Source organism: Homo sapiens, chromosome 9 (genome assembly GCF_000001405.40).
Source record: "Homo sapiens chromosome 9, GRCh38.p14 Primary Assembly".
Lineage (NCBI taxonomy): Eukaryota > Metazoa > Chordata > Mammalia > Primates > Hominidae > Homo > Homo sapiens.
The window spans coordinates 25795510-25815542 of NC_000009.12; the positions used below are offsets into that span (position 1 = coordinate 25795510).

Sequence of the window (20033 nt, forward strand, 5' to 3'; positions counted from 1 at the left end):
TTTTCATTAGTAGTACTCAATAAATAATTTTTCAAATTGTTCTTTAATCAAGATGTCATGTATGTTACTTGTCACCCTCCCACTCGAGTGATCTAAATTTGTTGCTCACTAATTTTTGCCAGAGCTAGTCAGTAGACCTTTAATAACTATTTATCAAATGAAAATGAATAAAATTTTTATAATACTCATTTATGTTTTCTTGCTACATAAATTTCCTTCTCTTTCCTGTAATCTTGAGGTCAATTTATTTTTCCAGATCATAATTTTGATCATGCCTTTTTTCCTGTTTATGTATGTTAAATGGCTCCCCAGAGTCTACAGAAATCCAAATTTGTTACTCCATTATTTGAAATCATTCAAAATCTACCCTTAATATTTCTTTTCAATCTAATTTCACATTATTGATTATAATCCAAACAAATGGCTGTCACTTTTTCTTACACAGCTTACCAACTTTGGGGAGGGGATACTAATTATTTTGCTGAAATGACTGACCACTCCTCATTTGTGCCTAGCAATCACTTGTTTCTCTTTTCAGTTCCATCTCACATTTTATCTCCCCCAGAAAACCTTTCTTTACTCCTCAATTTAATCTACCTCCACCAAAGTGGAAACAATATTCTCCTACTCTGAACTATGAAACAGTAACTTATTTGTGATTTCCTAATAACTTATAAATGCTGCTGAATATTATAGGTTTCTAAGTACAAGGCTTTTCTACTCTACTATATTTGGGATACTGTCTGTGCTTTTCTGAATTTTGTTGCGGTGTAAAACACAAAGAGGTAATGCAATATATGTATTGTAATATATATACAGAAACTATAAAAATCACAAATATAGAATCTGATGAATATTTAGGCACATGAATACTGTTATATAACTCCCACTTAAATGAAGATATAGAACAAAACCAGTATATCCAGAATCCTTTCTAATGTTTCTTCCCAGTGACCATCCCCTGTGAAAGGTAATCACTCCCCTGATTTCCATCATCATATATTAGTATTGCCTGTTCTTGAACTATATGTAAGTGTTATCATTTGTTATGGATTCTTTTGTGTTTGGCTTCTTGTGTTTATGAGCTATATTCATGTTGTTCATATGAATGTAGTTTGTTCCATTTCATGAATATAGTATTTTGTGTGAATGTACCATAATTTTTATCCATACATTTATTTTATTCAAACATAACTTTTATGTTTATTGGTAAACATTTGGTTTGCTTCCAGTTTTTCACTATTATAAATAATGTTGCTATAAACATTCTTATACAAGAGTTTTGGGAGCACATTAGATACATTTCCACTGAGTATATATCTGAGTGTAGAATTTCTGGTAATAGTGTGCGTGTAAGTCCAGATACTCTGCTTTGCAAAGTAAAAAGAAAAAAATTCTCCACTTGCATCACAGATGACTGTATATATGTGGATCTATTTCTGAGCTCTCCATTCTGTTTAATCATTTTCTTTGCCTGTTTTTATGCCAAACATCACACTGTTTCAATAACTATAGCTTTATAATAAATCTGAAAGTCTGATAGGGTAAATCTTCCATTTTTTTATTTCTTAATTTTCTCTACCATTCTTGTCAATAGATTAAAAACAATATAACTGTTATAAGTACATGGAACTATTTATTACAGATTAACTTAGGAACATCTGGCATTGTTAAAATTCTGAGTTTTCTAATTTATGGAAATAGTATATCCCTTCATTTGTTTAGGTCTTCTTACATTTTTTGTCATAATTATCTTGTAGTTTTCTACGTTGAGGTTTTGCACCTCTTTTCCTTAGAATTGTTGTTTTGTTTTTGTTTTTGTTTTGTTTTTTTTTGAGACGGAGTCTCGCTCTGTTGCCCAGGCTGGAGTGCAGTGGCGCGATCTCGGCTCACTGCAAGCTCCGCCTCCCGGGTTCACGCCATTCTCCTGCCTCAGCCTCCCGAGTAGCTGGGACTACAGGCGCCCGCCACCACGCCCGGCTAGTCTTTTGTATTTTTAGTGGAGACGGGGTTTCACCGTCTTAGCCAGGATGGTCTTGATCTCCTGACCTCATGATCCGCCCGCCTCAGCCTCCCAAAGTGCTGGGATTACAGGCGTGAGCCACTGCGCCCAGCCAGAATTGTTTTTATTTCTTTTACTTGCCTTATTGAACTTGCAAAAAACTCCAAATGATAATAAATTGAAGCAATTATAGCTGGAATCCTTGTCCTGCTCTCTTTCCCAACCTCTGTCGTTCAATATTTTATTGCTAATGTGACTTTTGCTGGAGGATTTTTGCATATATGCTTTATCGGATTTTTTTAGACTACGATTTCTGGTTTAATAACAGTTTTTAACATGAATAGGAAGGATTAACCTTCTAATCATAAGTATCTGGTACAGAAGTTATATATCCACACTAAACAAATTAAAAGCTGGTCAAAATATATGAAATGACTGTTTTTAGCTATTGAGACAAGTAGTGTTGGGCTGTGATTCCTCATAAACGGGAAACAAATTAGATGGTCCCTATTGAATTTTCAGCTTTCTTCATGGTGGCAATTTCCAGTCTCCAGTGCAAGGAGGGGAAACTGAAGGAGAATAAGGCGGTTACATTCAGTTAGAGCCTGAGAGCAGAATTTGGTTAGGCTGAAGCAGCTGGAAACTGTGGAATGTAATACCAGAGAGGAGACTGCCACACAAAGAACTCTAAAAATGTGAGCAAAGATCCCCTGTACTCTGTTGTCAAATACTAAGCTGTGCATCAACAATGTTGCTGCATTATATGTGGATATGGCCAACACCCCAAAATATGGTGCTTCTGTCTCTCCCAAAGCATAGAATGAAGTTGTTCTCCAGAGTCTCCTTAACTACCTAAAGTCTGGACCTGTCACAGAAGAAAACAATGACCTCTGGTCACTTTCCTAAATTTTCATTAACTGAACTCTTATCACAGGATGAGAGACTGAAGTCTGGCCACATACCTGGGCACACTTTTGTCACTAACCACTGTCTCTTCTGTGAGCCCAAAAGACTTCCCTCCAGCCATCGTATGTTCTTCAAGCTCATTGAATTTCCCTAACAATCATTTACTACCCCGCGAAAATCATCCACACTTCCCCATCTCACTTTTCCCTAAGAAGGAGAGCATGTAACCATTCGTATCCCATTGCATAGTAATCACTCTGTGATTCTCCCCCAGGTACATTAGTAACTTTGTATGTCTTTTCTCCTATCAATCTTCCTTTTTTTCAGTTTGATTTTCAGCAAACCTTCAGAAGGCAAAAGGGAAAGTTTTCCCATGGGCCAACGTGGATATGTTTCTGTAATAGTCTGCTCAGCCTTCTACAACAAGATGTCGCAGACTGGGTGACTTAAACCAGGGATCCTCAAACCCTGGCAATGGATCGGTACGGGTCAGTGGCCTGTTAGGAATCAGGCCACGTAGCAGGAGGTGAGTGGCCAAGCAAGCATTACAGCCTGAGCTCCGCCTCCTATCAGATCAGCGGTGGCATTAGATTCTCATAGGAGCACAAACCCTATTGCTAACTGTACTTGCAAGGGATCTAGACTGCATTTTCCTTATGAGAATCTAATGCCTGATGATCTGAGGTGGAATAGTCGCATCCAAAAACCGTCCTCCACAGTCCCCTCCATGAAAAAAATTGTCTTCCGCAAAGCTGGTCCCTGGTGCCAAAAAAGTTGGGGACCGTTGGCTTGGACAACAGAAATTGGTTACTCACAGATTTGGAAACTGGGAAGTCCAAGATCAAGGTACTTACTGATTTGGTTCCAGGGCTCTTTTCCTGGTTTGTAGATGGCCATATTTTCACTGTATACTCATATGACCTCAACTTTGTGTACGTGTGGGGGAGAGAGAAAAAAGCTCTCTGATATCTCTTCTTAGAAGGGCACTTAATCTAATAGGATCAAGGCTCCACCTTTAAAACTTATAGGCCCTGTCTCCAAAAAGTAGTCAAATTAGGGGTTAGAGCATCAACATATAAATCCGGTGAGGGGGTTGGCAGGAGGTCCCAATTTTGTCCATAGGAGTTTCTGTTATTTGTTGCCCTCCCCTTTCATGTGTCTTACTGTACCTGGTAATTATCGCCTGAATGACAGAAATTATACATATATAATTGTTATCTCTGGGCCATATTCTCTTCTACCACCAATGATTCATCTTCCTCTAGGAGGCAGCTGGAGTATGAAACAGATTACCTTAATGCAATCAAGACCAATCAGATTTACGGTTGGTTTATTGGGGTCATAAGGCTCAGATGCTTTTTAATTTGCCTCCACTCCTAAGGCATAGCTCTGCAGGGTCTCTAGCTGGAGACCTAACTACCGTTATTGTTTGATCAGATACTTGTGTATGCTGAAACTCTTCTCTCACTAGCAGCAGCTTTCTGTTTTGCTTCTTAGCCTCTTTCCATGTTCACCTTAAAGTATTAGGATATTCCTCAAAAGAAAATACCCAGAGTGTTCCCTTTTCCCCATCTCTGAAAACTCTGAGACCATTGTCCCCAAGTCTTACTTCTTGTGTCCTAAACAAAAATTATTCGCCAGCCCCATGCAATTACCAAAACCTGCTCAGCTTATCTGTTTTGGTTATGGTCCTTTGTCCTGTTTTTCAGATTCTCACTTTCCCAAGACCATAACCTGGCAGATTCCCTGAGGGGAAAATGTCTTCTTATCCTCTGTTTTTGATTTTCTGCTTCCTCATTTGCCTTAGCAGCAATATGGTCTTTTCAATTTGATTTTTAAACATTTTATCCAGCTTTTCTAAATGTATTGACTGAAGTACTGGTCTGCCATGAGCTGCTGCATCAGAGCCAGAAGTGAAAGTATGACTCTGACATGTCACTTAGTACCTAATATATAATAAATGTTAGCTAAATCTAAATATTTAGTGACTGAAAACAAGAATAAACAAATGAACAGATTAAAAATACTTTTTTTATTTAGTAAAGAGACCTTGATCAAAGTGCTGAATCTAATATTAAATTTTCTTGGAAATTATAACAATGTTCAAACTATCCTATCAACTGTTGCATTTTTTTTTCTTTTTTGTGGGGGGGTGCAGGGGTGTTATGTTACAGAGGTTATAGTAGAAAGAAATTCTGGGGACAGGATATATACGAATATTTCACATTTTCTTCTTCCACCAATGTAATAATTGAGAACTGGAAATATTAGTTAAATTAGTGTAAGAATACGTAGAGAAGCTTAATCTGTTCTGCTAGTTACTATAATTTACAAAAGGACAAGAAGTATATTAGGTTAAAATTTCTTAATGTTGGGTTAATTGTAATAAATAAGAGTTCTTTAATTTTAGAGCACCTGATTAGCTTTATTTAACATATGAAATGCTAGTCAATGAAAATTAAAAAGGGTTAATGTTTTGACATGCATATTTCATTATTTAGCCTTATATTTCTAATATTTTCAATGCATATTAATAAAATGCGTTGAGTACTTGGCATTTCTCCTACAAAGAATAAGAAGGTAGACAGTACATGAAGATTATGACCTCCTATTCTAGTTTTCCTCCAATTTAAATTTAGCAAATCTCAGTTTAATATTTATAGATAAATGATGGACTACAGGTAACTTCTAGCTACTGTGGAGTTAACATGATTTTCAGATGCCTATTTAAGCCATGATAAATGGAAAATGTCTAAACCTTAATTTCTTTCTTCTTCTTTTTTTTTTTTTTTTTTTGAGACAGGGTCTTGCTCTGTCACCCAGGCTGGAGTGCAATGGCACGATCTCAGCTGACTGCAACCTCCACCTTCCAGGCTCAAGTGATTCTCCCACTTCAGCTTCTCAAGTAGGTGGGACTATAGGCACATGCCACCACACCCAGCTAATTTTTGAATTTTTTATAGAGACAGGGTCTTGCTATGTTGCCCAGGCTGGCCTCAAACTCCTGAGCTCCAACGATCTGCCTGCCTTTGCCTCCCAAACTGGTGGTATTACAGGTGCAAGCTACCGCCCCCAGCCTAAACCTTAATGTTAAATCTACTCTCTTACTTTAATTTACAATTGAGCCTAAAGAATCAAGATTAAGTATAGAAAAGTGCTGATGGTCTTTGATTTGAAGAGGCTATAAATGTAAAAGAAAAATTGCACTGGACAGAGTTAAACAAGAAGACTTTATTCAAGACGACTGCAGTAGGGAAGACAGATTGAACTCAATCCCAATGAAACAAAAGGCAGGAGAGTTTTTAAGCACTGGGATGAGCTAATGAAAAAGAACCAGAGAACTATAGGCTGATGTGGTCCACTGTGTTTGCTAATTGGTGCTTATGGAAGTTAGGTTCCTAGCCTCCCATCTAGACTGGGAGATAGGAGTCCTATCTTCTTTGATGATTACATTTCAAAGGAATAGTTCCCAGGTCCTTGAAAAAGAAATGCCTAGATTGTAAAACTGGAAAGAGGTTGGGAGAAGATTTACATCTCAAAAAGTCAGGAAATTATTTACAATAAAAAATTGTCTGAGGTAGGCTGGGAGCAGTGGCTCACTCCTGTAATCCCAGCACTTTGGGAGGCCGTGGCAGGTAGATCACTTGAGGTCAGGAGTTCTAGTCCAGCCTGGCCAACATGATGAAACCCCATTTCTACTAAAAATACAAAATTAGGTGGGTGTGGTGGCAGGAGCCTGTAATCCCAGCTACTCTGGAGGTGGAGGTGGCAGTTAGCCAAGACCGCGCCACTGAACTCCAGTCTGGGTGACAGAGCAAGACTCCATCTCAAAAATAAATAAATTAAAAAAAAATTGTCTAAGGTAAATTAGGATGTCAGGGCCCCTAATATCAAGAAGAAACCTATTTAATGTTTAGTCAAGCTGAGGGTAACATTAAGGCCTTCTTGGTCACAATGTACACAAAACCTGTGGGATCCCATATAGAAACTCTGTCTCTCTTTTTTCCTCAGTCCATATTTGGAATAACAACAATATAACACTCCTTTGGTAGTTATATTTTCTCACCTTCTTTACAGAAGAAGAAATCCTTACTTAGAAAGGGTAAGTAACTTGACCCTAATGACCTAGCTGGAAGTGACAGGTCTCTGTGAGATTCAAGAGTCTATTTTCCTAACCATTGTGTTACAGAGATGAAGTAGACCTAATTGTGACATCCTTTTCCTCTTTTATGCCCTTTTTATTTATCCTTATGTTGCATTTATCCAAATTAATTCAATGGGGCAGTCTAACAAATCTAGTTTACATTTCATTAATTATGGGCATGTTAATAACAACTCTTAACCCCAAACATTACCACAGTTCAGGGACAAAGGTTATTAAGGAGGATATAAATTCTCTATATGTACTGGATGGCTCCCAAGGAAACAGGATTGGCATGTTTTACTATCAGTGTTATCAGAGTCATGTTGTAGGCAGCTCCCTTCTATCAAGTCAACAAATAAAATAATGGTAACTACCTTTTTTGATGGATAACATGTTAGCCTCTGTGCTAAGAGATTTGCATAACTTTTTTCATTTAGCTGACCTAGGATCTAGAGAGATAGCAATGTTCTCCATTTTAAAAGTGAGAAACCTGAGTTTTAGAGAAGCTAAGTAACTTGCACAAGGAGAAGTCACTTTAGCAATATTCATAGTTATTACAGTTTCAATCTGGAATTGAATTTGCATTAGCTCATTCCCGTGGCTGTGCTCAAGGGCTACCCTCTACTGCTCTGGTTCTGGGCAGTATGTCAGCTTCTTCCCTCTTTTCTTTCTGAAGGAGACCGCAGAATGTCATCCCAAAATATGGCACCCTAGTATGCTTAAGTATTTTGAAATGAAGGCCCTTGGAGATCAGCAGGTGCTAGGAGAGGCTTTTCCCCTATCTGCAGAGGGACTGGGCACACCCAAAAAGAAAACAATTACCTTCTGTCCCTTCCCTGAGTTTTCATTAAGTAAACTCATATTGTAGGGAGTGGGGAATGTAACTACACATGGACAAATTTATTTCATCAGGAGCCACTGTCTATTCCCCTAGACCCATTCAGTTTCCAAAGAAACTAACCATTGGTTAGGAACCATTGTCTGAGCATTGGGCCTATTCATTTCCCCTAACATTGTTTACTCTAGATTTCCTAATCTCCCTTCCCCTGTGAAGAAGGTTTTAAAAGTATATGCACTTCATTTGGTTTTGGATAATCATTCTACGGTGATTTTTTTTTTTTACCCACGCATATTAAAATAAATTTGTATGCCTTTTTCTCCTGTTAATGTGACTTTTGTCAGTTTATTTTCAGCAAATCTTGACTGCAAAGGGGAAGTCTTCCCTCTTCACTCCTATGCTTCTTTCTTTTCTTCATTTTTTTTTCTGCCTTCCAATTTACCTTGACTACCTTTTTTTCAATTATCTCACAATCTTGAATAAATCAACGTTTAGTAGTTATGTAGTTAAGCACTTTTACATTTGAGCAACGTGAATAATGTAATATAGTTGACTTCTTAAATGGAAGGCCTTCCCTTGGGCTTTTACAGTAATTTTAAAAAGAGAAAAAAATAAATTTTTATAAATGGAAACAAATTAAAAATATTTTCTGTCACAGGTGTAAATTTATACTAAATTTCAATTAAAATACAACTACTTATATATTTCATAAATTTGTGGTAGAGGGCATTGATAATCAAATATATTGATGTTCAGAAAAGAATACCTCGAAATTTGTCACTTTGGACTTCAAACAGAGCAGCTGAAGAGCAGCAAAGGCAGGGAAAGGGCTTTCTCTGATCTACCCTTAACCGACTAAGGTAAGTTCCTCCAGAAGACATACAATTATCAATCAGGGAAGGTTAAATCAGGAAAAGAGACTACAAGTCTGACACCTCCATTGAGAGACTTTAACCACAGCTACCATCAATTCCTCTGAGGGTTGCTTCTGAGAAACTTTATCTGCATAGTAAGACAGCCTTGTTCCCAGTGCAGTTTCTCCCCTGACCCTCCCATGGCTTGTCACCATCTCCCCCTGAAAAGCCCCCAGACCCTATTCTTTCTCTAGGATATAAAACTTCAGTCATTTGAGGGCATAAAGGTATAAAATCCTTAATCATCGAGTCTTTCTTTGAGTCTCACATTTTATGGGATGCCCATGCATGTGGACATAAAGAATTTGTTTGCCTTTTTACCTCTTAATCTGTCTACTGTCAAGTTTATTCCAGAAATCTAACTTTCAGGGGGTAGAAGAGAATTTTCTTTCACTCCTACAAGTGCATTCTTTAAATTGTACTTTTACACCTTCAATAAAATGCTTAGGAATTCCTACGTCAGTACTTTTTAAATCCCGGCTAAAGAACTGCCTAAGTAGTTAAAAAAAAAAAAAAAGAAAAAAGAAAAATACATTCAAACCCTACCATATAGCCACTCTAAAGTGTCAGGTGTCTGTGATTAAAAACATCCCCACTATTGATTGTGATATATAGCCTGGGATTGAGAATCTCTGCCCAATTTGTTTTTATTAACATTTTAACACATTGATCAGTTTAGCTTAAAAATGATTTAAGAAGTATTTGTTTTGCTTCTGTGCTATATAAATAGCCATGTTAATGTTTCTGGATGTTCACCAAATATTTTCAGTTCTGTCTTCTGGGTATCTGATTGGATTGTACTTCCCAGCTGTCTTGTTGTTGAGAGGAGCAGTGTGTCTAATGAAATTGTGCTTCTGGGGCAGAATACTTAATTGCTAGTTTAGTTAGGCCTGAGCTACTGAACATACACTAGGCAGTGCAGCAGCAGCACCATCAATTGAACTCTTCTTAGAAATGTAGATTTTTCAGGGTCTGCCCTGATGTACTGAATCAGAATCAACATTTTCATAAGATCCCCAGGTGACCTCATGCAAGTTAAAATGTGAGAAGCCTTTCCCTAGAGTCCTAGCTTTCCCTAGAGTTCTAGCTTTCCCTTGTACTATGGCCAGCAATATTTGAGGTGGTAGCTGATTTCTTGGCCTGGAACTCTGAGTGACTATGGTGGGCAGGACTCCCTGCCAACCAGCAATGGGCATGTAGCATGAGCTAAACCTTTATGTTTTCAGATGTTTGTGTAACTTGCCTTTGTAGCATAACATATCCCATACTAACTAGATACCTTGGATGTACAGGATTTCCTTGCCTTTCTCTTCAAACTCACTTATAAAATATACAGTGTCAAATCTAAACCAAAAATCTGTAAAAATGTTCAATTTAAACACAGATTTTTATCACAAAAGGCAAAGATTTAGATTGATAGGAAAATAAATTCAAGACCAGAAAGAGATAGGACAGGACAGGAAAGGTTCCTTCAGATTGTTGAGGAAATAGCTGAATTGAGCTTATAAGCAGCCAAGAAGAATGGCTGCCTATGTTTTGGTATTTGAAACTCTTTGGTATTAAAACCAAGGCCAAATGTGTGAGTGACGGGTTGAGGGGTATTTTCACAATTTGTCAGATGGGCAACTCTGTTTACTAAGCAAAGGAAAAAGCAGGTGGATTAAAAAAGAGAGAGCAGGAAATGGAGAGAAGAGAGAGGAATACAAATAGTAACAAAGGTTTCCAGCTTACCACAGCTTGCTCTTTATTTCAAACCCAGAAAATAGCTCTGGGCACGTTAGCCTTGATGAACTGGAAAAGTTCCACACATTAAGGTCAGCAACCCTGACATAAGGCCATATCGAGAATGAATACATCTTTTCGATGAAGGGCTAATCTTGTACAAACACATTGCAGGGTGTTTTCAGGTCCTCTAATGACCCCCCGACTCTCTCTCGCACCATATTGTTAATGGAGAAGATATTTGTGTTAAACATTGTGCAGATTAAACTGGTGGATTATTTTCCCTGCATTTAAAAATATCACTGTGCCCCGTGGCCAGACCATTCCTAACTGAGAAATACAAAATGCAACTGAATTTTTCTTTGCTTCATTAAAGGAAGCTTGAGAAAATTTAAAGGGACTGTTCAAATGTCTTCCTTAAAATATGCCTATTTCTAGGGCACCCTATGATACCAGTGGCTTCAGAATAGGAGTGAGATTATTATAGACTAGATGACAAATTTATTTAATCATTGTGGTATCCATTTATTTAAAAACTGTGCATGCTCTCTTTGTACCAGACACTGTATTAGGATCTGGTGACATAGTGGGATAGAAGGACAAAGCCACGCTCTTATGAAGCTTACATTCTAGGATAATTCTTTGCCATAAACATAAACCAAACACTTCCACTAGAAATGCTGACCAATGCCTGGATTCTCTGGTAAGTTTCATGAACTCACCCTGCTTGGTAGCATGACATCATTTTATGATATACTAACTTCTACCTTGCTTGACATATCAATGTCTCTATTTTTTTACTTACTCAATCTTTTAACAGACCATTTATTTAGCACTTCCTGTCATAAAACTTAATCTTCTGACAGTGCTGCTTTCCCAATGCATCTTTATCAATACTGTTTCCAACGAAGTGGGTAAAACAACACAGTGACAAAAGAAATTTGCATATCAGTTCTCGGCTCACACTAAAAATCTATGCTACATCCACAAAGGATGCCAACTATTGACAATACCCAGGAGGCAATCCTGGGACCAAACCAAATGGGCCCATTACCAAGAGTGCTGTTAAAATCAAGCTCCAGGCTAGTAGGAAGGAATAATGTATTGATGGAGAAATTAAGCAAGTGGATCATGTATGGATGATTTGTGGATGGGAGAAAGATAAAGAAAATAGACATTGGGGTGGAGTGAGCTAAGATAATACATGTGACTTGGCCAAGTGCCCGTTTGAAATTAATGTTGCAAAGATTGAGTGTTCATGCATCAAACGATTTTTGTACACAGTTTTATTGATTGCTCTAGGCCTGGATGTTTCCTTAAAGCCATGAAACTAGATTATAGAAATTAGCAAGTGCAAGAGTACAGATGGGTAGGATTGCAATGCCAAATAATTTGCCAGCGTATCCACAACTGTTGCTTCTCTTATAGTGCTGTTGAAAGAATCAAAGGAGAAGATATCTATGAAAGTGTTTTACAAACCAGAAAGCACTTTACTTACGAGAAGTGGTGCTATTGTTTGCTATTGTTATTATTACTGTGCTTGTTTTAATGTAACCTAGACACTGTGGTAGTGTGTCCAGAATTGGTTCCTTCCGGTGGGTTCTTGGTCTCACTGACCTCACGAATGAAGCTGCAGACCCTTGCAGTGAGTGTTACAGTTCTTAAAGATGGTGTGTGCGGAGTTGGTTCCTTCAAATGTTTGTGGCCTCGCTGACTTCAGGAGTGAAGCTGCATACCCTTGCAGTGAGTGTTACACAGCTCTTAAAGGTGGCCCATCCAGAGTTGCTCATTCCTCTTGCTGGGTTCGTGGTCTCGCTGACTTCAGGAGTGAAGCTGCAGACCTTCACAGTGAGTGTTACAGCTCTTAAAGGTGGCACGTCTGGAGTTGTTTGTTCCTCCGTGTGGGTTCGTGGTCTTTCTGGCTTCAAGAGTGCAGCTGCAGACCTTCATGGTGAGTGTTGCAGCTCATAAAGGTAGTGTTGACCTGAAGAGTGGGCAGCAAGATTTATTGTGAAGAGCAAAAGAACAAAGCTTCCACATCGTGGAAGGGGACCCCAGCAAGTTGCCCCTGCTGGCTCCGTGGCCTGTTTTTATTCCCTTATTTGGCCCCACACGCATCCTGCTGATTGGTCCATTTTACAGAGTACTGATTGGTCCGTTTTACAGAGGGCTGATTGGTCCGTTTTTACAGAGTGCTGATTGGTGCGTTTACAAACCTTTAGCTAGACACAGAGCACTGATTGATGCATTTACAATCCTTTAGCTATACACAAAAGTTCTCCAAGTCCCCTACCCGATTAGCTAGACACAGAGTGCTGATTGGTGCATTTACAAACCTTTAGCTAGACACAGAGCATTGATTGGTGCATTTACAATCCTTTAGCTAGACAGAAAAGTTCTCCAAGTCCCCACCCAACCCAGAAGCCCAACCGGCTTCACCTCTCAGTAGCGTGGCTTTTATGTCACAAGGTCACTGTTTCCTGGAAAAACTCATTCTGATTTTGTTGATGCTATCATTCAGATATATTTGTGATAGGTAACTCTGAACTTTCATTGTTCTTAATGCTCTTGCCCTGCTGAGCTAAAATAGGGCAGTGTGCCTTCTGCCCTGCTTCTCAATGAAACTGCAAACGTGGGTTATAAATTGAGACCTATTTATGATGAAGAAAATAGGAGGATGAAAATACAGTGCTTATCAACCTGTCACAATAGGAGGAGGCTGGAAAGTAAAGTGTCATTCTCATGCTTTTCTCAGGAAGAAAACTGATTTTCCTTTCAAAAAATGTCAAAAGGAAAACTTTCAGGCTGTCACTTATGGCCTGTATTTCTAGAACCTGGCCCAATTTGGCTACTGCAAGGCTTTGTGAACACAGCCATCCAGAGGATGCTGTTTAGAGGGAAGGAGGTAAGATATTACCAGGATAGAATGGTGATACGCAAATGCAGGACCAGAGGACAAGAAAGCAGATATACAGAGAAAACAATTTTGGTTGTCAAATCATTATGTTAAGTTAACCCATGAATACTTATACTAACTGGAAATACATAGGGCTACTTCTCTGTCTTTGTGTGTCCACACTCCTGCTTGCAGATACATGCACTCATGCATTCTGCCCTAAATTAGATTTCTCTAGAAGGAGGTCCTGTAAGTAGAATCATGTAAAAGAAGTTTATCTGGAAAGTGGTCCTAGAAATTACCAGTAGTGGAGTAGGAAGACAAGAAAACCTAATCAAGATATGTTTGTCGGCTGGTCACTGCTGCAGGCAACTCAGACTCTATTTCTGGCAGGGACTCCATATCTTGCACACCTCTGGACAAAAGTGCAAAACACACATATAATCCTACATGAGGGGCAAAGAAACCAGGACATTTATTTATCGATTTCTATTTATCTTTGGTTAAAGGCTATCCTTTTTTTTTTTTTTTCATTTTTATTATACTTTAAGTTCTGGGATACATGTACAGAACATGAAGATTTGTTACATGGGCCATGGTGGTTTGCTGCACCCATCAATCCATCATCTACATTAGATATTTCTCCTAATGCTATCCCTCCCCTTGCCCCCCACCCCTCAACAAGCCCCAGTGTGTGATATTCCCCTCCTTGTGCCCATATGTTCTCATTGTTCAATTTCCACTTATAAGTGAGAACATGCAGTGTTTGGTTTTCCATTCCTGTGTTAGTTTGCTGAGAATGATGGTTTCCAGCATCATCTATGTCCCTGCAAAGGACATGAACTCATTCTTTTTTATGGCTGCATAATATTCCATGGTGTATATGTGTCACATTTTCTTTACCCAGTCTAACATTGATGGACATTTGGGTTGGTTCCAAGTCTTTGCTATTGTGAATAGTGCTGTGATAAACATATGTGTGGATGTGTCTTTATAATAGGATGATTTATAACCCTTTGGGTATATATCCAGTAATGGGATTGCTGGGTGAAATGGTATTTCTAGTTCTACATCCTTGAGGAATCACCACACTGTCTTCCACAATGGTTGAACTAATTTAAACTCCCACCAACGGTGTAAAAATGTTCCTATTTCTCCACATCCTCTCTAGCATGTTGTTTCCTGACTTTTTAATAATCACCATTTTAACTGGCATGAGATAGTATCTCATTGTGGTTTTGATTTGTATTTCTCTAACAACCAGTGATGATGAGCTTTTCTTTCATATGTTTGTTGGCCGCATAAATGTCTTTTTTTTTTTTTGAAAAGTGTCTGTTCATATCCTTCTCCCACTTTTTGATGGGGTTGTTTGGTTTTTTCTTGTAAATCTGTTTAAGTTCCTTGTAGATTCTGGATATTAGCCCTTTGTCAGATGGATAGATTGCAAAAATTTTCTCCCATTCTGTAGGTTGCCAGTTCACTCTAATGGTAGTTTCTTTTGCTGTGCAGAAGCTCTTTAGTTTAATTAGATCCATTTGACAATTTTGGATTTTGTTGAAATTGCTTTTAGCGTTTTATTAATGAAGTCTTTGCCCATGCCTATGTCCTGAATGATATTGCCTAGGTTTTCTTCTAGGGTTTTTTGTCTTAGGTCTTACGCTTAAATCCTTAATCCATCTTGAGTTGATTTTTTTTTTTTTTTTAAGACGGAGTCTCCCTCTGTCACCCAGGATGGAGTGCAGTGGCATGATCTCTGCTCACTGCAAGCTCTTCTTCCCGGGTTCCCGCCATTCTCCTGCTTCAGCCTCCCAAGTAGCTGGGACTACAGGCACCTGCCACCATGCCCGGCTAATTCTTTGTATTTTTAGTAGAGATGGGGTTTCACTGTGTTAGCCAGGATGGTCTCGATCTCTTGACCTCATGATCTGCCTGCCTTGGCCTCCCAAAGTGCTGGGATTATAGGTGTGAGCCAACGCACCCGGTCCTTGAGTTGATTTTTGTATAAGGTGTAAGGAAGGGGCCCAGTTTCAGTTTTCTGCATATTCGTAGCCAGTTTTCCCAACACCATTTATTAAATAGGGTATGCTTTCCCCATTGCTTGTTTTTGTCAGGTTTGTCAAAGATCAGATGGTTGTAGATCAGATGGTGTTATTTCTGAGGCCTCTGTTCTGTTTCATTGGTCTATATATCTGTTTTGGTACCAGTACCATGCTGTTTAGGTTACTGTAGCCTTGTAGTATAGTTTGAAGTCAGATACCGTGATGCCTCCTGCTTTGTCTTTTTTTTCTTAGGATTGTCTTGGCTATAGGGGCTCTTTTTTTTTGTTCCATATAAAACTTAAAGTAGTTTTTTTCCAATTCTGTGAAGAAAGTCAATGGCAGCTTGATGGGAATAGCATTGAATCTATAAATTACTTTGGGTTGTATGGCCATTTTCATGATATTGATTATTTCTGTCCATGAGCATGAAATGTTTTTCCATTTGTTTGGGTTCTCTCTTATTTCAGTTAAAGGCTATTCTTTGAGACAATAATATCCAGGCCCCTTCATCTTCTGTCCTGCTGGGTTGGAGATACTCTTGCTATTAGAATAATCTTGAGGAACTGTCTGAGTGTTTTCAGGAGGAAGCAGGCAGTGTTTACTGAATAATGAATGAGAGGAAATATGGGGAAGTTATTGAAAGTTTCTGCTATGCACACCATTGTTCTCAGACTCTATGATATTTACCTGTGATTTTTCCTGAAGTCAATCTTTATTATTCACTTTCACCAAATATCACCTGTGGAAGGGCACTTCACACTCCTGTATTGGATAGGGAGGCTTTTCCTCTATATTGCTACTTTCCATTCAAGAAGCACTGTCTAATAGAAATGTAAGCCACCAATGCAAGCTATTTAAGTATTTTTTCCAATAGATTTTTTTAAAAAATAAATACAAAACAGCTAACATTAAAGTAACTTAACACTACATTTTATTTAATCCAACATAACTAAAACACTGTTTCAATATGTAATCAATACAGAAATACTAATTAGATATTTTACTTTTTTCCTGCAAAGCCTTTAAAATAGATGTGTATTTTACACTTAACAGCACATTTCAATTCTGACTACTGCATTTCTATTACTCAATAGCCATGTAAGGCTAGTAGCTATCATATTGGACAGTGAAGACCTGGGTCCATCTCACTCTCCATCTGAAATATGGGGAACTTATGAGTATCTTAATACTTTGGGGGAATGAAAGATGGCATTCCTGCTGGACATTAAGCGAGAGATGTACTGACAATGTCCATGAGAATTTGTCATCAGTTTTCAAGGTGGCTATATAATAATGCCCAAAATCAGATATACGTGCCCTTTTAGACATCCTCTCTCTTCCAAAACGAAACAAAACAAGAAAACAACAACCAAACCTGGACTTGGTACTACATAAGGATTCACACACAGCTCCAGGAATGAGTGTTGAGGAAAACCTTACATTCATTGTAATTATGTTTCCACACTTTGGCAAACTGAGAAGGGAAAATACATGTGTCCTCTCCATGACCTATCTTTCCTATTTACACTCTTGTGTAGTCCCCTCTTATATTGTATCAGGATTGGTCTGTGTGAACAGAATAAAGCATAAGTAATAGTCATTTCTAAGGTCAGATTGTAAAGAAAAACCTTCTTGCTGTCACTCCCACAGCTCATTCTAGGGGAAACCAGCTGCCATATTAAGAAAACAGTCCTATGGAAAGGGCCATGGAACAAAGAAGTGACTTCTGCCAACAACCTCATGAGTGAACCTAGAAGTGGCTCATCTAGTCCTGGTCAAATCTTATGGACTGTGGCTCCAACTGATAGTGTGACTGTAACTTCATAAGAGACGCTGAACCAGACCACCCAATAAGACACTCCCAGATTCCCTACTCTCAAAAGTTGTGTGAAATAATCACCCCCAGTTGTATTAAACTGCTAAGTTTTGGGGTAGTGTGTTACACAGCAATAAATCATAAATACAACATCCAAGCAATAAATTTCTATGATAAATACATATGAAGAGTAGATCTCTGTTTATAGGCTGAGATTTGTGTTCATTACAGTCCTATTGAAAGGAATAAACATGAACCCGAGGTTAGAAGATGAGGCCACACTGTGACAGGAAGAGAGAAGAATGTGAAAAACATTATAGAAAGAAAAAATATTTTCCAGAATTTCTTTAAACAGAACAAAAATACCAAAAAAAAAAAAAAGACCCACACTTATTTTCATTGTTTCCTAAGCTCTTGTAAATCACAGGGTCAGGATTGATTTATTACAAGGAAGTTCTAGGTCTAGAAGTCATCCCAGTGTTATCCAGATCATCAGCAATTAAGAGAATAAAAGGAAAATGGGGGAAAAAGTTCTTCCTCATAGGGCTGAGGACATATTCTGAGACTATATAGCAGAGTCAACTGAAAGTAGCATTGTAACCCCTGACTAGAATTTCACCTAGTATTAAAGGAGGCTTTGGTTCTCCCTGGGGCCTACATTCCAGAAATGTCAACTGCAATTCTAAGGAATATTAACTACATTTCTTAGGAAGCCATGCCATTGGACTTAGTGTACAGAATGCTTTATGTGAGCTTTATTAATCTTATTAAATAACATGTCTTTGCCATTCATTGATTAGACATACAAATCATTCATCCCCAGAAGGAATTGCAAAGGAATCTAAAGTCACTCAAAACCCAGGCTTGTGCTGTCTGTGGTTGTCAAGGTAACAAACGTCTGACAATTCCAAGCTACCAGACCTCGGCAGACTATTTTGAAGCCACCATAGGTATTAGCCAGCCTTCCACCTTCCACTTCATATAACAGTTTCCAGAGGCATTCTCAGGAGAACTAATCAAGATATTAAGTTTATCCACAGACAACTAGAGTGCCAACACCCTGTAGCAAGTTAGAAGAAATAAATAGGATATTCTTTATGTTCAACCTTGGATGCTCAGTTCTTCAGCACTGAACCAGAGCCCCCTATGCTATCAGTGCTTATTATAGCAGCTGTATTCAGAGGAATAACTAAAAAGAAGTGAACAAAGTCTGGAGATGCTAATTCTACTTGCTCCTTTATATTGAGCACAGCTATAATTATAGATGGTATTATTTCTTAAATGTTTAAAATAGGGCCAGATACTTTAAATATTACCTCCTGTTTTAAATATTACCCTATGCAAAATGGGTATTCTCATGCTGGTTTTAAAGATGAGAAAATTGAGGCTCAGTGTGTGGTTAAGTTCTTACCAATAACACACAACTACCCAGTGACAGAGCCTAGATGTGAACTGAACACTGACTTCAATGGGAGTTCTCATATTCACTGTGCTTTTTCTCACTTCCACTTTGCTTCTTCCTGAAATTGAATCTATCTCTTCCTATTTCCTTTTTAAGACCACATTGATTACTAAACATTTTCTCCCCATGTCTGCAAATATGCTATTAAAGACAGGTAAGAATTGGTGTGGCATGGGTGAAACCCCGTCTCTACTAAAAATACAAAAAATTAGCTGGGCGTGGTGGCGGGCGCCTGTAGTCCCAGCCACTCGGGAGGCTGAGGCAGGAGAATGGCGTGAACCCGGGAGGCGGAGCTTGCAGTGAGCCAATATCACGCTACTGCACTCCAGGCTGGGTGACAGCGAGACTCCGTCTCAAAATAAATAAATAGAATTGGTGTGGCATAAGGGTTGAACAATCAGCATAGATCCCTTATATCTTAGTACAGGAAAAGGTGCCAGAAGACACTGAAATGCCACGGGTTGGCATTCAGTCTCAGAACTGAAGGGTCCTGAGGGAACCATGGAGAGGAAAGCAGGATTCTCAAGGGCTCAGGACAGTCTTTTTCTATTTTAATAGGGGGTGTGGTCTTATCACTGCAGGATGGCTGAATGTAAGCACTGACTGCCTGAACAAATTAATAATCGCAAGACAGAATTCTGACCTTATGAACAAGCATTTTGCTCCAGAATTCCTACCAGAAAAAAAAATGTGGAAGAATTTGTGCATTCTGTGGGAATATGTATTTAGTTTCTCACAAAGAGACTGGTCATATTAGTACTAAGAATATAACACAGCTGAAAAGACAGCTAGTGGTTTTAGCTACATAACCTCAGATTCCTCAGAGATGAAAAATTCTGTATTGGATACTAGAAACTTATAAATAAGTTGCTTTCATTGTTAGTTTCTTATGTTGTATGTATTTTTTTTTTTTTATTTACTTTTGAGACAGAATCTCACTCTGTCACCCAGGCTGGAGTGCAGTGGTGCAATCACAGCTCACTGCAGACTCGACCTACTGGTTCAAGTGATCCTTCTGCCTCAGCCTCCTGATTAGCTGAGACTACAGGCACACGCCACCACACCCGGAGAATTTTTGGATTTTTCGTAGAGACAGGGTTTCGCCATGTTGCCCAGGCTGGTTTCACACTCCTGGGCTCAAGTGATCCTCCTGCCTTGGCCTCCCAAAGTGCTGGGATTTTAGGCAGGAGCCACCCCACCCTTCCCTATGTTGCAAGTGTTTTTAAAGATAACGTCACATGTATTTTTAAAGATAATATTCACTGAAGAATTTTTAAAAAATAAATAGAATTTG

The 20033-nt window shown here is 38.6% G+C and overlaps 1 long non-coding RNA gene across 1 annotated transcript in view; it reads left to right on the top strand.

The window, feature by feature from the left end:
• The window catches only part of LINC01241 (long intergenic non-protein coding RNA 1241), a 32913-nt gene extending 15454 nt beyond the window's left edge, over positions 1 to 17459 (top strand). Inside the window, exons 4-6 of the long non-coding RNA NR_121604.1 lie at positions 2525 to 2697; positions 3236 to 3434; positions 17112 to 17459. This is a non-coding gene — a long non-coding RNA (long intergenic non-protein coding RNA 1241). The remainder of the gene's footprint in view (positions 1 to 2524; positions 2698 to 3235; positions 3435 to 17111) is intronic.
• Positions 17460 to 20033: the final 2574 nt, after the last annotated feature.